We start from the raw sequence: 17,285 nt of genomic DNA, 5'->3' as shown, positions 1-17,285 counted from the left end.
CAGCAGGGAAGGGTGGGAGGAGTGATGATACCCCTCCTGTCACTTTGGAGCAGGAAGAACAGACTTGTTTGGTGTCCCTTCTGTAGCATAGAGGAAGTGGTTGGGAAGGGAAAGAAGGATACAAGTTTTATACCAGGTCTCCTGGCCCGAGGGAGGTGACCTGAGAGAGGTGGTCCCTGACCTTCTTCTCCTTTTCCTATGTGATTGTCAGGTCTGGCCTCCTGAGGCTGAGAGCTTCCCATCCAGCCTCAGTCCGCCCAGTCTGCAGGCCAAATGAGGTGAGGAGCTATGCTCTTTGGGATCCCATGGGTGTTGGCTTCCTGTTATGGGAGCAAGGGATCTGAGCTGGGCCCAGGGAGAAACATCTGGAATAGCAGTATTGCCTTCTTTAGTTCTCATTCCCTGGGCCTTTCATTACTAGCCAACTTTGGAAATCATAGAACTGGCTTAATTGGCATCCCTATAGTTTATTGTGTGCCAGTTTTTATTGGAGTGGGGTCAGGGCCCTCCTGGCAGGCCAGATTCTGACTCCTTGCCTTATTCTCTAGTTAGTAAACTCAGAGCATCTACTTTTCTTGAGCTGTTACAGATCCCAGGAGAGCATGGAGCTGGCATTGGGGTGGTCCCTGGGTGGCCCATCTGGAAGGAGGCATTTGTACATATGGGGCCCTGGGCTGTGACTCTAGACTGCAGGCCCTCCCATTTTCTCTCATTTTTCCCTTCTTAGCCTCGAAGGAATATCCGGTTTGGTGGCCCTGTGAGTGTTAGGTCCTCAGACAAGACCTGACTTGGTAAAGGAGGGAGCCGGCACACCAGCTGCTACCCTGGGAAGGTGCCTGAGTGTCCGCCTGCTGGGAAACTCTAAGCTGTGGGAAAGAGATAAGATGGTAGCACCTACTTGATGTTTTGTCCTACCAGCATCTGGGCCTGAAACAGGACCTCCCAAGGGGCAGTGAGGCCTGGCTGTGGCCCAGCCACCCAATCTGTTTATATCGAGGTGGGCAAGAGAAGGTACTGTGTGCTCCCTCCTCACACAAGCGCCAGAATCTGGCTGGCTGTGTGATCTTGGACATGTTGCTTCACTTCTCTGAGCCTCAGTTTCTCACCTGCAGAATGGTTATGATAACACTGACTTTGCAGGATCATTCTGAGGTTTAAATGAACTAATAATACAGGGTAGGTGCTCAGTGAATGTTCTTCTCCCTCTTAAAGACTGGAGCAGCTCGTGGTTCTATCTTTTCATTTTCTACTTCCCATCTTTGGCTATAATGATGAGTGTCAGTGAGGCCCAGCCCCTGTCGGCAGGAATGAACCCTAACCCATGGTGAATCCTTACTTCCCCTGAGAGGGGTGATTATCCCCATTCTGTGGATGAGCGTACTGAAGACCGAGGAAAAAGTGCCCAAGGTTTGCCAGCTGGTAAATGGCAGAACTGGGACTAGAACCTGTTTCTTGACACTGCATCCAGTAGTGACTACACCTTGCTAAGGTGGCAGCAGGCAGGGTGCCAGGTGCTTACTGTCCCTAAGTCCCTAAGGTCCCTGAGGTCCCCACACCCAGGGCAGGAGTTAGCAGGAATCTGGCTACCTCCCCCTTCCAGTATGGAGGGCAGAGCAGGTCTCAGTACAGGGAAAGGTCATGGCCATCAAGCAGGAGAAAGGCACAGGGAGGAAAATCCTTGGAGAGGTCCTGGAAGCATGGCCAGATCAGGCCTGATTTAGTCCTCCCATAGGCCAGAGTCCGGATTGCATTGGTCTTGACCCCAACATGCTGCATAATGGCCATTTGACTTTGATATCTAGTCTGTGCCTTTTGGAAGAAGTGTTACTTTGTAGATGAGGCAGGGATTATGTTGCTTGTACCGGTGAGGAATCTGAAGGTTGGAGAACTCTTGCTGTTAGTGAACTGTGGAGCCAGACCGGAGAGGGATCCCAGGTCCTCCGACTGTCACCCAGTGCTCCTCTAGCTACATAGCACTGACCATTCTCTTCCCCTTTCTCTTCCTCAGTCGAGGTAATTGAGCCTACAGGCTCAGGATGCATTGCCGACTAGAGCAGAGCCCTGCCATCATCCATCCGTTGTCCTAGCTGATCACTTTATCCTGCAGACAGTACACTTGAGGGGTAGGAGGCCTCCTTTAACTGATTAGTCTGCCCCTGGTAAATCTATTGCCGCAATCCTGGGCCCAGAGACCCTCTCCAGCAGGGAGAACACTGTACTGGCCACCCCACTGGCAAGTCAATGCTCCTGATACTTAACCAGCTTAGAAGCCCCCACCTAGGATTTCAGGGCAGCTGCCAACTTTGGCTTTCTCTGTCTCATCCTTCCATTTCCCGTCTCTCCTCCCCCTACCCTACCCTACTCCATTCTGTGCCCTGTCCAGGTCTTCAGAGGCTGCCATAGCTTAGCACTCAACACCTCTTCAGGTAGAGAAATACTCAGCAGACCCAGCAGCCTGGGAGAGCAAACCAAGGCTTACTTTTGCCAGCTTATCCATCTTAGCAGTGAGCTTATTTACCACACATTTATTGAGCACCTACTCTGTCAGACCCTGTGATTTGGACAAGAGATATAGAACTGAACAAGATGTCTGTGTTTTATTGCCCTCAAGGCACTCACAGACTTGCTGAAAAATAGAACCACAGACAAATCTTTCCAGTGTTGAGTGATGAAGGCTGTCATTGAGGCATGCAGTTGCTCTGGGAGTACAGAGGAAAAAGCAGCCAGCCCCACCTGCAGGAGCCTAGAAAGTAGTAGCATTTGATCCAGGCTTCAGAAGAGGCAAAGCAGGGCAGTCCATTGGATGAGAGGGGGCCCATGTGCAAAGTCCCTCCCAAAAGCAGTCGTTTGAGCATGTGTGGCAAGAGCAGAGATGACAAGAAGAACGGGAGGCAGTAGGATGATACGACAAGAAGAACGGGAGGCAGTAGAATGATACGAAGCAAGGGTAGGTTAGGGAAATGGGTTGGGCAGTCTCAGTCTAGCCTTGAATGTCAGGCTGAGGCCTCTTGTGTTGCATAAAAGTTAGTCCAGGAAATGGGTTGGGCGGTCTGAGTCCAGCCTTGAATGTCAGGCTGAGGCCTCCTGTGTTGCATAAAAGTTAGTCCAGGTCTGGCATGGAAGACGGCATAAAGAGGAGCTGGATTGCAGGCAGTGAGACCTGTTGGGAGAATCAAGGATGGCCTAAAAGGGCTGTGGTGAGACCTGGAAGAGGTCTGGAGCAGTGAGGATAAAGAGGCTGGCAAATCATTAGTGCTTGGTTCATGACTGCCATGTGGGCTGATGGAGAGGTAGGAAGGCTCTGGACTAGCTGAAGTGGCTTTGGCCTCTTACAGAGTCCATTCTGGAGCCCTCTGGCTACAGGGAAGCAAGGCCAGCTGTGGCCTTCCTCTGAAGAGGGCAGTGGGCTGCTGTGACTCTGCGTTGTCACAGCTCTGGGCTCCCCAAGGTGCCTGGTATGGCTGGCTTGCCCCGGGCACATCAAGGGGTTCTTTGTCTCCTTCCAGCAGGAGAGTGGGTTGGCTGACCTGGTTGGGGAAGGAATAGGATAAGCGGTGTTGAGCTTCCTGGTCTCTGCCTGGCAGACATATTGGATGATAAGGAAGGATGCAAGGAGAACCAGAAGAGAGGACTGGGGCCTGAGGACATGGAAAACCTACCTTAGGGTGGTATGGCAACTGGGAAGGGTGGGTTTGGGCCTTTGGACACAGCATACACTGATCAAGGGGAGGCACTTGGCAACTGGAGGCTTGTTTGACCTCACCTAGCACCTTTATTCTGTTCTTAGAGGTGGTGCCTTGGCTGGGACAAAACCTGTGAGAAGGCAAACCCCTCAGCACTTACAAGGGGCACCACCAGTGGCATCCGGAGATGAGAGATTCTGGCTGGAAATGTGGATTTTAGGCTAGTGTTTGAGAAAGGGCTCTGAACCAGGCACAGGGTCAGAGTGTCAGTGATGGCTCCACCACTGACCTTTGTAATATGTGACTTAGGCACATCCCTCACCCAACCATGGGGCTAATGCTTCCAGTTTTTTTCACCCAGCACTTACTATATGTGTAGCCCTGTGCTAGGCTCAGGATATAGACCTGATCTTGCCCTCACAGGGAAATCAGACATTAAACAAGTAGTTTCAACCAGTCTGGTCAACATAGTGAGACCCTGTCTCTAAAAAATAAATTAGCTGGGCATGGTGGCACGTGCCGGTAGTCCTAGCTACTACAGAGGCTGAGGCTGAGCCTGGGAGTTTGAGGCTGCAGTGAGCTGTGATTGTGCCACTGCACTCCAGCCTGGGTGACAGAGCGAGACCCCATTTCTAAAAAAAATTTTAAAAAGAGAAAGAAGTTACCAGGTGTGGTTGTATACAAAGGATTGTGAGGATCAAATGAGATAATTGGATTAGGAGCATAGTGTAAACAAATACTGCTGAACGGAGATCTGGAGACCTTAACCCTATGCCTTACTGAGCCACTAACTAGCTGTGTGACCTTGAGAAAGTTGCTTAATCTTGGTTTTGTTTTGTTTTGTTTTGTTTTTTTGAGATGGAGTTTTGCTCTTTTGCGCAGGCTGGAGTGAAATGGCACAATTGATCTTGGCTCACTGCAACCTCTGCCTTCCGGTTCAAGCGATTCTCATGCCTCAGCCTCCCGAGTAGCTGGGGTTTTAGGTGCCCACCACCATGCCCGGCTAATTTTTGCATTTTTAGTAGAGACAGGGTTTTGCCATGTTGGCCAGGTTGGTCTCAAACTCCTGACCTCAGGTGATCCACCCACCTTGGCCTTCCAAAATGCTGGGATTACAGGCATGAGCCACCATGCCGGTCAAAAGTTGCTTAATCTTTTTAACCTCGGTTTTCCCCACATAAAAACTACGCAGTTTGTATGTGTGTGTGTATGTGTGTTTGTTTTTAAGAGACAGGGTCTGGCTCTGTCACCCAGGCTGGAATGCAGTGGTGCAATCACAGCTCACTGCAGCCTCAACCTCCCAGGCACAAGCGATCTTCCCACCTCAGCCTCCTGAGTAGCTGGGATTACAGGCTGAAGCCACCATGCCTGGCTACTTTTTTTACTTTTTGTAGAGACAGAGTCTCACTATGTTGCCCAGGCTGGTTTCAAACTCCTGGGCACAAGCGATCCTCCCTCCTCAGCCTCCCAAAGTGCTTACGTTATAGGCATGAGCCACTGTGCCAGCCAACTAAGGCAGCTTTAGTGGGATGGTGTTGAAGACAGCTACATCTGACATCCTGAGACTGACCGTGGAGTATATGAAAAGTGTTTTGAAGCCTGAGTAACATAGGGAGACCCCATCTCTACATCCCATAATTTAAAAATTAGCTGGGCATAGTGGTGCGCACCTGTTGTCCCAGCTACTTGGGAGGCTGAGGTAGGAGGATCACTTGAGCCTGGGAAATCAAGGCTACAGTGAGCCATTATTGCACTACTGCACTCCAGCCTGGGCAATGGAGACCCTATCTCAAAAAAAAAAAAACAAAAACAAAAACAGTGCTTTGAGAAGTTCTCTATGTGGTACCACGCAAGTTCAGGGGAGTCACCATGGCACATGCCACAGAAACCACTGCTCCCAGCATGCTCTGTTCCTCTTGTGAGAGGACATCTCTGATTGATTGATTGAGACAGGGTCTTACTTTTTTGCCCAGCTTGGTCTTAAACTCCTGGCTTCAAGTGATCTTCCTGCCTCTGCCTCCCAAAGTGCTGGAATTAGAGGCATGAACTACCATACCAGGCTGGACTTCTCTTTGTGTGCAGGATCGGTGTCCCTCAGGACTTTGGGAATGTAATCAAATCAAGGGATGCTTTGATTTATCTAGCTCTTTAGTCTGCAAAGTGCTTTCATTTCCATTGCCTCTCAGTAACCCTTATAGGAGCAATGGGAAATTGGTAGGCTATTATTTTACCCTGTTTCCTGATAAGGAAACCAAGGGTGAGCAAGTGATGGAACAGGGCCTGGCACCCAGCATTCCTCCTTCCTAATTTCCCATCTTACCAAAGTTGGTGACCACTGTGTGGCCTCTCCTCCTCCCCTTCCTGTCCCAGTCTTAGGACTTCAGCCCAGCCCCAAGTGTCTGCACTTCTCCTACCAGGCTTTTCAGGTTGTTTTTGTTGCTAAGTTGTCATGATGGATGACACAATTCCTGTCCCAGGACTCCACACACAGCTCCTCATATGTACCCCAAGACAAGGCAGGAGTAGCTGGGTCGTGAGTGACCCAGTGAAGGAGCATAAGTTCGGAGAACTCCTGTCCCTACTCAGTGCTTTGGGCCTTGGACACTGTGAGTCCAGAAGCGATCTTCCGCGGCCAGCCACTTTTGGAGAATGCTGCTGCTTTCCCTTTCATCTTCGCTTGGCTTCACAAAGAAAGAGAACCTAGGCTGGGCACTGTGGCTCATGCCTATAATCCCAGTACTCTGGGAGGCCAAGGTGGACAGATCACTTCAGTCCAGGAGTTCAAGACCAGCCTGGGCAACATAGCGAAACTGTATCTCTACTAAAAATACAAAAAAATTAGCTGGGTGTGGCGGTGGCATTGGGAGCAGGAGTATTGTTAGGATTAAGGGAGATGTTGTTGGTAAAGCACCCAGCACAGTGTCTGTCACAAAGTAAGGGCTCTGTGGAACATGGCGGCTCTCACAATTCGAGTGTAAATTACCCTCTGAGATTTTACCTCAGACATTTAGCATAATGGTAAGGGAGCAATGCAGCTTTGGGGTGAAAATCTGGCTTCCCTCACGTGCTCTTCCAACCTACCCCACGACCGTGGAGGTTAGGCAGGAGCCAGTCCCACTCAGCTTGTGGTCTGGAGCTTCCTGGCCTGCCAGGGCAGGTTGGGAATCCCCCCATGAGTTCCTCGCTGAGTCATCTGGAGCAGGGCTGTGATCTGAGGGCCTGACCTTCCCTTTCCTTGGTCTGTAAAGATAAGCAGAAGTAAGAGCAAAGGTGGGCATCCCGAAAGATTCCACTCAAGGCTTGCAACCAGAGTGCTGCCCGGGGCCTCTGTCCTCCTGGGTGGTGGTAGTCACTTGGGGAAGGAGTCTGAGTTTGCTTAATAATTACCACCACCCTCCTCTGTGGGTTTTTTGTGGGTTTTTTGTGTTTTTTTGGTGGGTTTTTTTTTTTTTTTTGAGTCAGGGTCTCCCTCTCTCACCCAGGCTGGAGTGCAGTGGCACAATTATGGCTCACTGCAGCCTTGAACTCCTGGGCTCAAGCAATCTTCCACCTCAGCCTCCTGAGTAGCTACGACTACAGACATGCAGCACTATGCCTGGCTAATTTTTAAAACAATTTTGTAGAGACAGGGTCTCACTCTCTTGCCCAGGCTGGTCTCAAACTCCTGGCCTCAAGCAATCCTCTGGCCTCTGCCTCCCAAAATGTTGGGATTATAGGCGTGAGCTACTGTGCCTGGCACCATGTAGACTTTCATCCTGAGCTTCCTGTTCTGCTTCTGAGTGACCCCCTCCATCCTCCCAGGATAGTCACAGTAATGCCATTTCACAGAGGAGCCTGTATGGTGGACGAGGCTTTCACCTACATCACCTCGTTTAATTCTGTGAGAGTATTTATCATCATAGTCCCCATTTTAAGAAGCAGAAACCAAGTCCCAGAGAGGCAAAGTGACTTGCCAAGCATCACACAGCTTGTGCCTCTGAGTCCACTGAGCTCCAAGCTCCTCAGGAGCAAGGCTGTGTATACCCAGCCTACTGGACAGCACTTGGTGGTGGAGTTGAGTGACAGAGGGAGAGATGAGCAGGGCCCGGATTCACTTTCCAGTGCCATCCCCTGCTTGACTTGGACTTTGGCCAGTTATTGTCTTTCTGAAGAACCTGAGTTTCCTTATTCACAAAAGGGAGTTGATAATTAGAGGATTTATCTCATGGGCTTGTCAGGATTAAATGAAATAATGTAAGTTAAGTGCTGAACACAGTGTCTGGTGCATAGCAAGCGTCTGTTGTTATAACAGACATTCAGTTAAGTTAATTGAATATTAGAATTGTAATGTTATAAAATGCCATCATCAAGCAGATCTGTGCTCAGCCCTGTGCTGGGCTTTGAGGAAGATCTAGAGCTGGTACCAGGCCAGAGAGGGAATGCTCTTTATCAAGTTCTTACTATGCTTTACCCACCTGATATCAAGGTAGAGGAGCATATTCCCTTTTCACTGCTGACAACACTTAATGAAATTCAGAGTGTCTGAGGTCACCAAGCTCATGAATCACTCAACACACACATTTGTTGGCCAGGCACGGTGGCTCACGCCTGTAATCCCTACACTTTGGGAGGCTGAGGTGGGTGGATCATGAGGTCAGGAGATCGAGACCATCCTGGCCAACATGGTGAAACCCCGTCTCTGCTAAAAAAAAAAAAAAAAAAAAAAAAAAAAAAAATTAGCTGGCCGTGGTGGCGCACACCTGTAGTCCCAGCTACTCAGGAGGCTGAGGCAGGAGAATAGCTTGAACCCGGGAGGCGGAGGTTGCAGTGAGTCGAGATTGCGCCACTGCACTCCAGCCTGGGCGACAGAGCAAGACTCCGTCTCAAAACAACAATAACAACACACACACACACACACACACACACACACACACACACACACACATTTATTGAGCACCAGCTAGGTATCAGGCTTGGGACACACTGCAGAGAATGAGGCCAAGAGAGCCCCTGCCCTCCAGGAACGCGCCTTCTCATGAAATGCTGCCTCTGCAGAACAGCCCTTAGGTGGAGAAGCTCCACCTGTCCCACTGGACTGCTCACATTCCCCAAACAAGCCATTCCCTCTCCTATTAACTAGCATTTGAACATACTGAGTGTTTTGCCTGGTGTGTTCTTTCCCCTTTCTCAGCCTAGCTACTTCCTGTCACCCTTCAAACCCCAATTCAAAAGTCAATTCCCCTTTAAAGCTTTCTCTAAACAGCCCGTCCTCACCCTGGGGTCTTTTTGCAGTCTCCTAGCCCCTTCTACATGCTCCTGTGATGGCACTTCTTCTCTGTGTGCTAGTTATTTACCTACCTGTTTGTTGATGCCAGATTGACCTCCTCAAGGGCAGGGACCACATTTTATTCATCTTTGTAGATTCAGGGCCTGGAACACAGGCTCTAGAAAGGTGTGCATGGAATATAATGAGGGCCTGATTGTGTTCTGTCCCTGGAGTAGTTAGGAGAGGCTTTGTAGAGATGAGAAGGAGTTTGGAATGATGCTTCCCAAGATGATGGCACCAAAATTGAATGGGGGTTGAAGGAAGATGGCTCAGGGGTAGGGGCCTATAGAGATGGGACTAGGGGAGAAAGGGATGTGCAGGGGAACAGGAGGGCCTTGAGAGCCAGGGCCTGAAGTTTCTTTGTTTTTTGTGTTGTTTTTGTTGTTGTTGTTGTTATTGTTCTTTGTTTTCTGTTTGTTTTGTTTGTTTTGAGAAAAGGTCTTGCCCTGTGACCCAGTGGCCCAGTCTAGGGTGCAGTGGCACAATCATGGTTCACTGCAGCTTCAAACTCCTGAGCTCAAGTGATCCTCCCACTTCAGTCTCCCGAGCAGCTGGGATGACAGGGCGTGTGCCGTAATGCCCAGCTACAGGGTCTGAGGTTTCTGTTGGATAATGAGGGCAGTAGGGAGCCATGGACGAGTCTGGGCAGAGGAGGGGCCTTATATAAACAGTGAGTCAAGACTAATTTTGGTAAGATCTATCAATGAGATCTAGCAGTTTGGTAAGGATGAGTCAGGGTGGCCCCTGGGTGCCTGCAGTGAGATTGTGATCCAAGGACTCAGTCACCAGCAAGGGAATTTCAAGCAGCACTCTGCCTGGTAGGAGCTGGGATTTGGAGAAAAGATGTCTTCTGTTGAGAATAGTCTCAGGCGGCACTCAGTCACTAATACCCGTAATCCTAACACTTTGGGAGGCTGATGCAGGCAGATCACTTGAGCCCAGGAGTTTGAGACTAGCCTGGGCAACACGGTGAAACCTTGTCTCTACAAAAAATGCAAAACTTAGTGGGGCATGGTAGCATGAGCCTATGGTCCCAGCTACTCGAGAGGCTGAGGTGGGAGGATGGCTTAAGCCCAGGAGGCGGAGGCTGCAGTGAGCCGAGATCATGCCACTGCACTCCATCTTGGGCGACAGAGCAAGACCCTATCTAATACCTTTCTGCAGTTGTCAGGGAGAGCTGCTTGGGAGTTTCTCTGTGGTCTACGCCCTTCCCTAGATGAGTGCATCAGAGGAAGGTAGATACCTTGGTTTTTCTTTTTGGGAGCCAGCAAGGCTAGTGCTAAAGGAACCATTTCTCACACTGAGTAGGGTGGAGCTGAGCAGAGTAGAGAGCTGGGCAGAGGTCCAGGGCACCAAGGCCAGTGAAGGGTGGAGAGAACCTGTTTACCATTGTGCACTGACCCAGCACTAGAAGGAGCAGAGCCAGGGAATTCCTCATGGGAAAGACAGGCAGCCCCAGAATTAGCCTGCATTGGGAAGGAGGGAGAGTGAAGCAAGCCAGACTCTCTCACTCAGACAGGGAGCCTGGACACTGCCAGCCGGCTCCTAGGCAGGGGTGGCCGGGCCCCAGAAGGGAGTGCCAGGCTGCTGCAGACCCTCTTCCTTTTTCCTACCAACTCACAGAGTGTGTGGCGTCAGGCAGACCGCTTACCTTCTGGGGAGGGGATGGCCTCACTGCATGATCTCATAGGTTTCCCAGTCCTGACAGCCATTTGCACACCACCAGCCTACCCTCTCCTGCCTTTGGTTTCTCATCATCACTTCTTATGGAACTGGTCTAAAAGCCATTTATACCTTCATTCATTACCACCTCTTAGGGTAGTGAACTCCAGAGGTTGTTGCCTAGTATGCAAAACAGGTCAGCCTTTTGTTTGTCCTCACTTCACTTTCAGGCTCTGGGTGGAGAGGGAAACCCTCTGGATCGGTGATTGGCCATGCTCCCCCTGCACATCCACTTCCCAATTTTCCACACTTTGGTGGGACTTCCTCCAACTGCCTCCTCTCCATCCTGGAGACCCAAGTGTGAGGGGTTTTTTTCACGTTATTCACCCCTGCCTTTCTCGGCACAGAGGGTGATAAGAAGAGGGAAGGGAATGTGACAGGGATTGAAGCCATGGTATGAGCGGGGGACTTTATATGTCTTGTATAGTTTAGTGCTCAGGTGGCAGCCTCTACTTCCAGGCTATGTAACCTTGGGCATATTACTCCACTGTGCTGAATCTTAGTGTTCTTGTCTATTAAATGGAGATAATTAAAGCTATTTCCTTGGGGGATTGTGTGCCTGTGTAGTGCTTGGCAGAGCTAGTACACGGCCAGCGCATGAAAGTGTCAGCTCTTAATTGCCTCACATCATGTTTACCAATGTTCTCTGAGGAGGTGGCATTCCTCCTGGGTTACAGATGAGGAACTGGAAGCTCAGAGAGCAAAGCAGCCAGCCCTGTTTCACACAGCTGTAAAGCGGTAGAGCTTGGATCAGCGGCCAGGAGTTAGAATTTGTTTACCATTGAGCAAATTAAGTAATCTCTCAGAGCCTCAATTGCTTCATGAGTAAAATGGTGGTAATCATGCCCTGCCTTCCTCAAAGGCCTGTGTATGGGGACCAGTCAGATGAGAAAAGAGATGTGAAATTGCTAGTTAAGCCGCAAATACCAGTCACCTAATAGCTACCATTTGCTGGCCACCCACCAGGCTGGGCCCTTGTACACATTTATTCCTCATTGCAGCCCTATAAGAGATGAGGTGTGCGTTATGACCCCACTGAAAGATGAAGAAGTTGTCACTTTTTGCACATGGTCTCCCAGTTAGTAGATGGCAGAACTGGAGTACCTAGCTCAGCTAACTTCAAGTCCCCACTCTATTTATTCTCCCCTACACCCCACCTGGTTTCCCCTATGGGTGAGAGGAGGATCAGTCCTGTGGTCTGTGACCTCAGACTTTCTGCTTAGGGTGTATTTCTCTTTGTTTGGGCTGGTTCAGGGAGTGAGGCTTGGAGGAGGGTTTAGACGGGTTCCTTGGTATCAAGATTTATCTCCCACGACAGGCTAGGATAAGGAGGTGATGAGCATGGACACTGCCCTTGCTGAACCTGCCTAGCCAGAGGTGCTGAGATGTGCTTGGGCAGAAAGCAGATGTCTAGAAGGACAAGGGAAGAGAGAACCCCAGCCCTTGGTCTCAGTAGCCTGGGAAGCAGTCTTGTCCTTCTGAACTTTTGGAAGCCTCAAGCCTCTGGGTTTTGGGAGAACGCTAGGAAACTGGGAACCTACAGAGAATGGGGTCAGCAGAGTGTCACTGCTGCCTTGGACCATGACGTGGCACAGCATGGCTAAGCCTGTTCCAGTCCAGGAGCCTGACAAGATCTGTGATTAGGTGCCACCTTTGTCTCCTCTGAGCCTTTCCTCCTCAGAAGCTGGGGTTGCCAGCAAATGGCAGATTGCCCTGGCCGGGTGCGGTGGCTCATGCCTGTCATCCCAGCACTTTGGGAGGCTGAGGCGGGTGGATCACATAGTCAAGAGATTGAGACCATCCTGGCCAACATGGTGAAACCCCGTCTCTACTAAAAATACAAAAATTAGCTGGGTGTGGTGGTGCCCCAGCTACTTGGGATGCTGAAGCAAGAGAATCACTTAAACCCGGGAGGTGGAGGTTGCAGTGAGCTGAGATCATGCCACTGCACTCCAGCCTGGGCGACAGAGCAAGACTCCGTCTCAAAAAAAAAAAAATGGCAGATTACCCAGGCTTACCATCTGCACCTGAGGTTGTGCTGGCAAACCATCCCATCCAGTGTATTGGTGTCTCTGAGCATTGCTAGGTACGGGCAGGCCACTCACTGGGGCAGTCACAACACTGGAGGAGGGGGTTAGACTGTCTCCAGTGGCTTGGGCGCCAGAGATGGAGCCACACAGAAGCATCTGGAGAAGGGCCTGATTTCCCCACAGCCTTCCCCAGGGAACTGGAAATAGCATATAGGTCACTGTGACAGAGGGGAAGCCCTGGGTCAGCTACTTACTTATTAGCTTTGTGACTTTGTCCAAGTCATACAACCTTTCTGATCAGGCCAAGTCTGTCATGGTCCAAATGGAAATAGTAATTAATCTGTGAGGGCCCCACTTCACTGGGCTATTAGAGGGACACGTACAATTTCTAAGGCAGAAGTAGCTTGTAGCCCTGATGCAGTGCAGATGAAGGTAATGATGTCATGGAGAAAGCCAGGCAGGCAGCTGTTGAACACCTGGGGCGTGTGGTAGGAGTCACAGAAGAAGTTCAAGACCCGGTCCAGCTGGGGAGGGACAGTGCTGAGTAATATGAGCAAGTGGTAATGAAGTGCATATTTCACACTTAATGACTTGACTCATTTGTCAGTTGGTGCTGAAATCAGTTTTAGGGGCTTGTGACCAGCATTTAAAACAATAGAATAGAAAAATAGAAAATCAATCTGGAAATATCAGAGTGCATTAGTACATGTAAGGGCAACTCGTTTCCTAAAATGTATTCTGGTTGTGTGTGTGTATGTGTGTTGTGTTTGTGTGGGTCTCAGTTTAAAAAGCATGAGACATGGTGTTCTGAGCCAGGATGAAGATCTTCAGGTTGGAGGACATTTTACGAGATCTAGGCAGGCAGGCAGGCAGGCATGCAGGCATGCAGGCATGCAGGCAGGCAGGCATGCAGGCATGCAGGCATGCAGGCTGTGTGGAGGCTGAGGGCTTGGCCTGTGGAGGCAGAGAAGTGTAGTACAAGGGTCAAGAGCATGAGCTGTAGAGTCAGTCAGGCCTGGGTTTGAGTCCCAGCTCTGCCACTTATAGCTACATGGTCTTAAAACACTCTTAACATTACTAAGCCTTGGATTCTACTTTAAAATGGGGAGAATGGGCCGGGCGCTGTGGCTCACGCCTGTAATCCCAACACTTCAGGAGGCCGAGGCGGGTGGATCGCCTGAGGTCAGGAGTTCAAGACCAGCCTGGCCAACATAGTGAAACCCTGTCTCTACTAAAAATGCAAAAAATTAGCTGGGTGTGGTGGTGGGCGCCTGTAATCCCAGCTACTCGGGAGGCTGAGGCACGAGAATCACTTAAACCCGGAAGGCGGACGTTGCAGTGAGCCGAGATCGCGCCATTGCACTCCAGCCTGGGCAACAAGCGCAAAACTCCGTCTCAAAAAAATAAAATAAAAAGGGGAGAATGATGTTATAGTAGGGTTATTACAAAAGGTACATGTGATAAAGGTATGTGAAGCATTGAGAAGAAAATTGTAAGTAGTAAATAATCTACGAATGGTAACTACTGTTGCTGATATTATTATTGTTGTAGTGATGGTTTTTAATGTAATATTGGGCTCTGAAGGGTTACTGTCACTTGGAGAAGGGAGAAGAAAGGGCATTCAGTTAGGGATGAGTGGATGGTGAGGGATAAACATGTGTGTGCCTGGTATGGGAGAATTGTATGGCCTCAAAAGCGGTGTTGAGATTACGGTGGAAGTTACTAGGACAATTTTGGCATAAGGTGGGGAAGAAAGCTTTAGCAGTGGAAACTGTTTAACAATAGAGTGACTTCACCTGGAGGTAAGGAAGGCCCATCCCTGGAGGAGTTCCAGCAGTGGCTGAGCCAAAAGAAACTGGTCTCACTTGTCTCTTTTGGCTTCAGAGACTCCCTCAGTCTACCTTAAGGAAGGAGGGGTTTTCTGGAGGATGAGTGAGGCCGCCAGATTTGCGACATCCCCCATGGGCCATTTGTGGTCCCTTATACTGGGCCAGCTTCTCTCTCACTAGCAATTGGTTCCTGCCCTCTCCACTGTCAGGAGGAAGCCTCCTCAGGGCTTCTACACTGTCATACTATTTTCAGGGACCCCTCTGGCCCCAGCTTCATCCCACAGCTCCTCTGTGGGCCTCCTTAGAGGGTCAAATTCATAAGATAGACTGTACAAGCATATAGCGAAACTGAGGATCAGAGAAGAAAGGGGACTTGCCTAATGTAGAAAGGATTTCTATATCAGACAGCAGTTGGATCAGATGTTTTCTAAGATCCTGACTGAGTTAATTGAAGGATATGTGACTCTTCTGATTTAACAACAAAAAAAATAGATAGCCTGCAATGTTTCAGGAGTATATCCTGTGCCTAGAGACATCTACCTGCAGTTAGAGAGCATGTGGTACGCTGAGTGCTGGGTACAGCCAGACCTCCAGTGTCTTCCTTCTCACCATCTCCAGGTAGATTAAACTCCTCTGCTGTTAAAGGAAAAGCCATTCAGATGGCCATATTGCCTTAAAATTTTCCTAATTTAGGATTTAAAAAATCAAAACAGATCTTTCAATTGACATGCACAGTTAAAGTAGTAGTGGGTTTTTTGTTTGTTTCTGAGAAGATCTTGCCAAATCAATGGTGTAGCTTAAAATCAGTGGTGTCTTAGAATCCAGGAAATATGGTAGTTTGTTTTGTACTCTTCTGAAGTTCCGGTTTGAGGTTTGACATTGGGGGTTTGAAACTGCCAAAGCTGTTATCTGGCATCAGTTAAAAGAACTCTGAATTTAACATGTTCCTCTGTGTATCTGCAGTTGGGAGAATGGGCATCTTTGAGTCCCTGCAGTTAGATTTTATCAATAAAGCCAGACTGAGGGTTGAGGTATCAGATAGACATATTTAATCACCTGTGAGTTCTTTGGAAACTGGTAATCTCAAGTGAAAACCTTGCCCTCTGTAAGCCTCAGTTTCTTCATCTGTGCAGTGGGGATATTGGATTAGCCATTATCTACATCCATAACTGCCAGAACTTCCTGTTGACTCAGTTTGGGCACCCTTCTGACTGGTTAACTAGAAGGCTGTTCCTCTGACTTGTTGCATAAGCAGTGCATTATAGGTGGTGGAAGGTATCATGGCCTGGGAGGTGTGGGCCCTTAGTTTCTGCTCCTGGGATGTTTGGGGGTTGCCCGGAGATACATATCCCTTTGTAAATTACCTGACCTTTTGTAAAGGCGTGGTCCTTGCTTTGCTTTTATCAGGAAAGGCAAAGAAAGGAGTAACTCATGCCCTAGTTCTGCCTTTAGGTGGTGAGAGGGGCAGCAGTTCAAGGTGGGGTGCCTTGTATCAGTGCGTTGAGGGGGCCTCCTTTGCCTGGGCTGTAGTCCTTCCTCAGACGTTCAGTTCCAAGGCTACTCTCAGGCCTGGGCACTTCCCCAGATAAAATGCACTGAAGAAGACCTTCCCTTTTGTGTCTTAGAGGCCTCAGCTCTGCCAGGGCCCCTCCCTCTGCTCTTCCAACCAGTAAAAGTCACAGTAGCACATTTCCTTCCGGCAGAGAGAGGATCAGAGACTCAGGCCTGGGCCAAGCCCCAGCCCCACTGTGTCCTGTTCCTGAGAACCTCCTCTGAGCTGCCTCCGACTCTGTGCTCCTTTCTGAGAGGTCAGGCAGCACTGTGTGCTGGCTCTTGGCTGGGACCTGACTTGTATTTGAGTCTGGGTTTTTCCACTGATTGAACGCTAAGCAAGATACCTTTCCTGAGTATCTTACCTCTCTAAGCCTGTTTCCTTGTCTGTCATTAATACCTTATTCTGTTAAGAAAGCAGAAAAAAGCACCTTGGTGCTGAGGTGTTTTCCCCACATTCAGTGCCCACCAGAATATCAACTCCATGAGGGTCAAGACTTTGTTTTAATCATGGGACGGCATCCCCATAACCCATCCAGAGGCCCTCGCCCTAGAACACTGCAACACAGTTGTGCTAGCTGCCCAGTCAGTAGATCTACAGATAGAAGAAGTGGTATTTGATGGGGCTTTGAAGTGTGTGTAGGATTTTGATGGGTGGAGACGATTTGGGAAGCATTCCAGCAAAGTTACTGGCATGAATAAAGGCTGAGAGGGAAAGGGCCAGGGCATAATTGGGGAAACTCTGAGTAATGAGTTTGGCTCAAGTAAAGAGGTGAGCATATTATTTCTGTACTCGTTTGACTAGTTTTTGTGTTCAACTCTGCACCTTGTACACCGGCCCTCTGAAGAGGCTTATTGACTAAGGCAGACCCAGGACAGGAATGCTTTGCTTTGCTGCACAGATGCAGACACTCACTCAGCCTCTGCCTCAGAGAGGTACCATGGGTCCTGGCCACATTAGGGAAGTAGGCACTTGAACCACCTGCTGTCTCTCTAGCTTATGCCTTGAGGCGGTGGATGGGGAGGTGGCGTGTTCCCTCTCATCTGCAATAGGATGGTCCGAGGTAGCAGTCCTGAAGGGAACAGCAGGGATGGTAGGCAGGAAGAATGGAGGTCTGACCAGGCTGGCGGCTGGGAATGAAGCCAGGGCCTTTGCTTCCCTTGG

General features: G+C 49.6%; 1 protein-coding gene across 2 annotated transcripts in view, besides 8 other annotated features; it reads left to right on the top strand.

Moving 5' to 3' along the window:
- TBC1D10A (TBC1 domain family member 10A) overlaps positions 1-17,285 on the top strand; it is a 34,952-nt gene that overhangs the window by 4,993 nt on the left and 12,674 nt on the right. The gene's annotated exons all lie outside the window — the stretch shown is intronic.
- Positions 1,594-1,762: an origin of replication, noted in NCBI's record as "amplicon 8; peak of nascent strand synthesis determined by quantitative PCR of size-fractionated nascent DNA". NCBI's record gives the evidence for it as "EXISTENCE:fractionation evidence [ECO:0000100][PMID:19815620]".
- Positions 1,594-2,969: a biological region, named in NCBI's record as "origin of replication in TBC1D10A".
- Positions 2,611-2,969: an origin of replication, noted in NCBI's record as "region spanning amplicons 4-5; peak of nascent strand synthesis determined by quantitative PCR of size-fractionated nascent DNA". NCBI's record gives the evidence for it as "EXISTENCE:fractionation evidence [ECO:0000100][PMID:19815620]".
- Positions 7,052-7,111: an enhancer, noted in NCBI's record as "active region_18836". NCBI's record gives its function as "activates an Ori minimal core promoter by ATAC-STARR-seq in GM12878 lymphoblastoid cells {active_cell/tissue: GM12878}" and the evidence as "EXISTENCE:reporter gene assay evidence [ECO:0000049][PMID:35858748]".
- Positions 11,984-12,033: an enhancer, noted in NCBI's record as "active region_18835". NCBI's record gives its function as "activates an Ori minimal core promoter by ATAC-STARR-seq in GM12878 lymphoblastoid cells {active_cell/tissue: GM12878}" and the evidence as "EXISTENCE:reporter gene assay evidence [ECO:0000049][PMID:35858748]".
- Positions 13,100-13,189: an enhancer, noted in NCBI's record as "active region_18834". NCBI's record gives its function as "activates an Ori minimal core promoter by ATAC-STARR-seq in GM12878 lymphoblastoid cells {active_cell/tissue: GM12878}" and the evidence as "EXISTENCE:reporter gene assay evidence [ECO:0000049][PMID:35858748]".
- Positions 13,250-13,309: an enhancer, noted in NCBI's record as "active region_18833". NCBI's record gives its function as "activates an Ori minimal core promoter by ATAC-STARR-seq in GM12878 lymphoblastoid cells {active_cell/tissue: GM12878}" and the evidence as "EXISTENCE:reporter gene assay evidence [ECO:0000049][PMID:35858748]".
- Positions 16,774-17,273: an enhancer, noted in NCBI's record as "H3K4me1 hESC enhancer chr22:30700665-30701164 (GRCh37/hg19 assembly coordinates)". NCBI's record gives its function as "activates a minimal SCP1, AML or CMV promoter by ChIP-STARR-seq in primed H9 embryonic stem cells {active_cell/tissue: H9 hESC(primed)}" and the evidence as "EXISTENCE:reporter gene assay evidence [ECO:0000049][PMID:30033119]".

Source organism: Homo sapiens, chromosome 22 (genome assembly GCF_000001405.40).
Source record: "Homo sapiens chromosome 22, GRCh38.p14 Primary Assembly".
Taxonomy (NCBI): domain Eukaryota; kingdom Metazoa; phylum Chordata; class Mammalia; order Primates; family Hominidae; genus Homo; species Homo sapiens.
The sequence above is the reverse complement of the archived record's forward strand: the minus strand, read 5'-3'. Positions and strand labels throughout refer to the sequence as shown.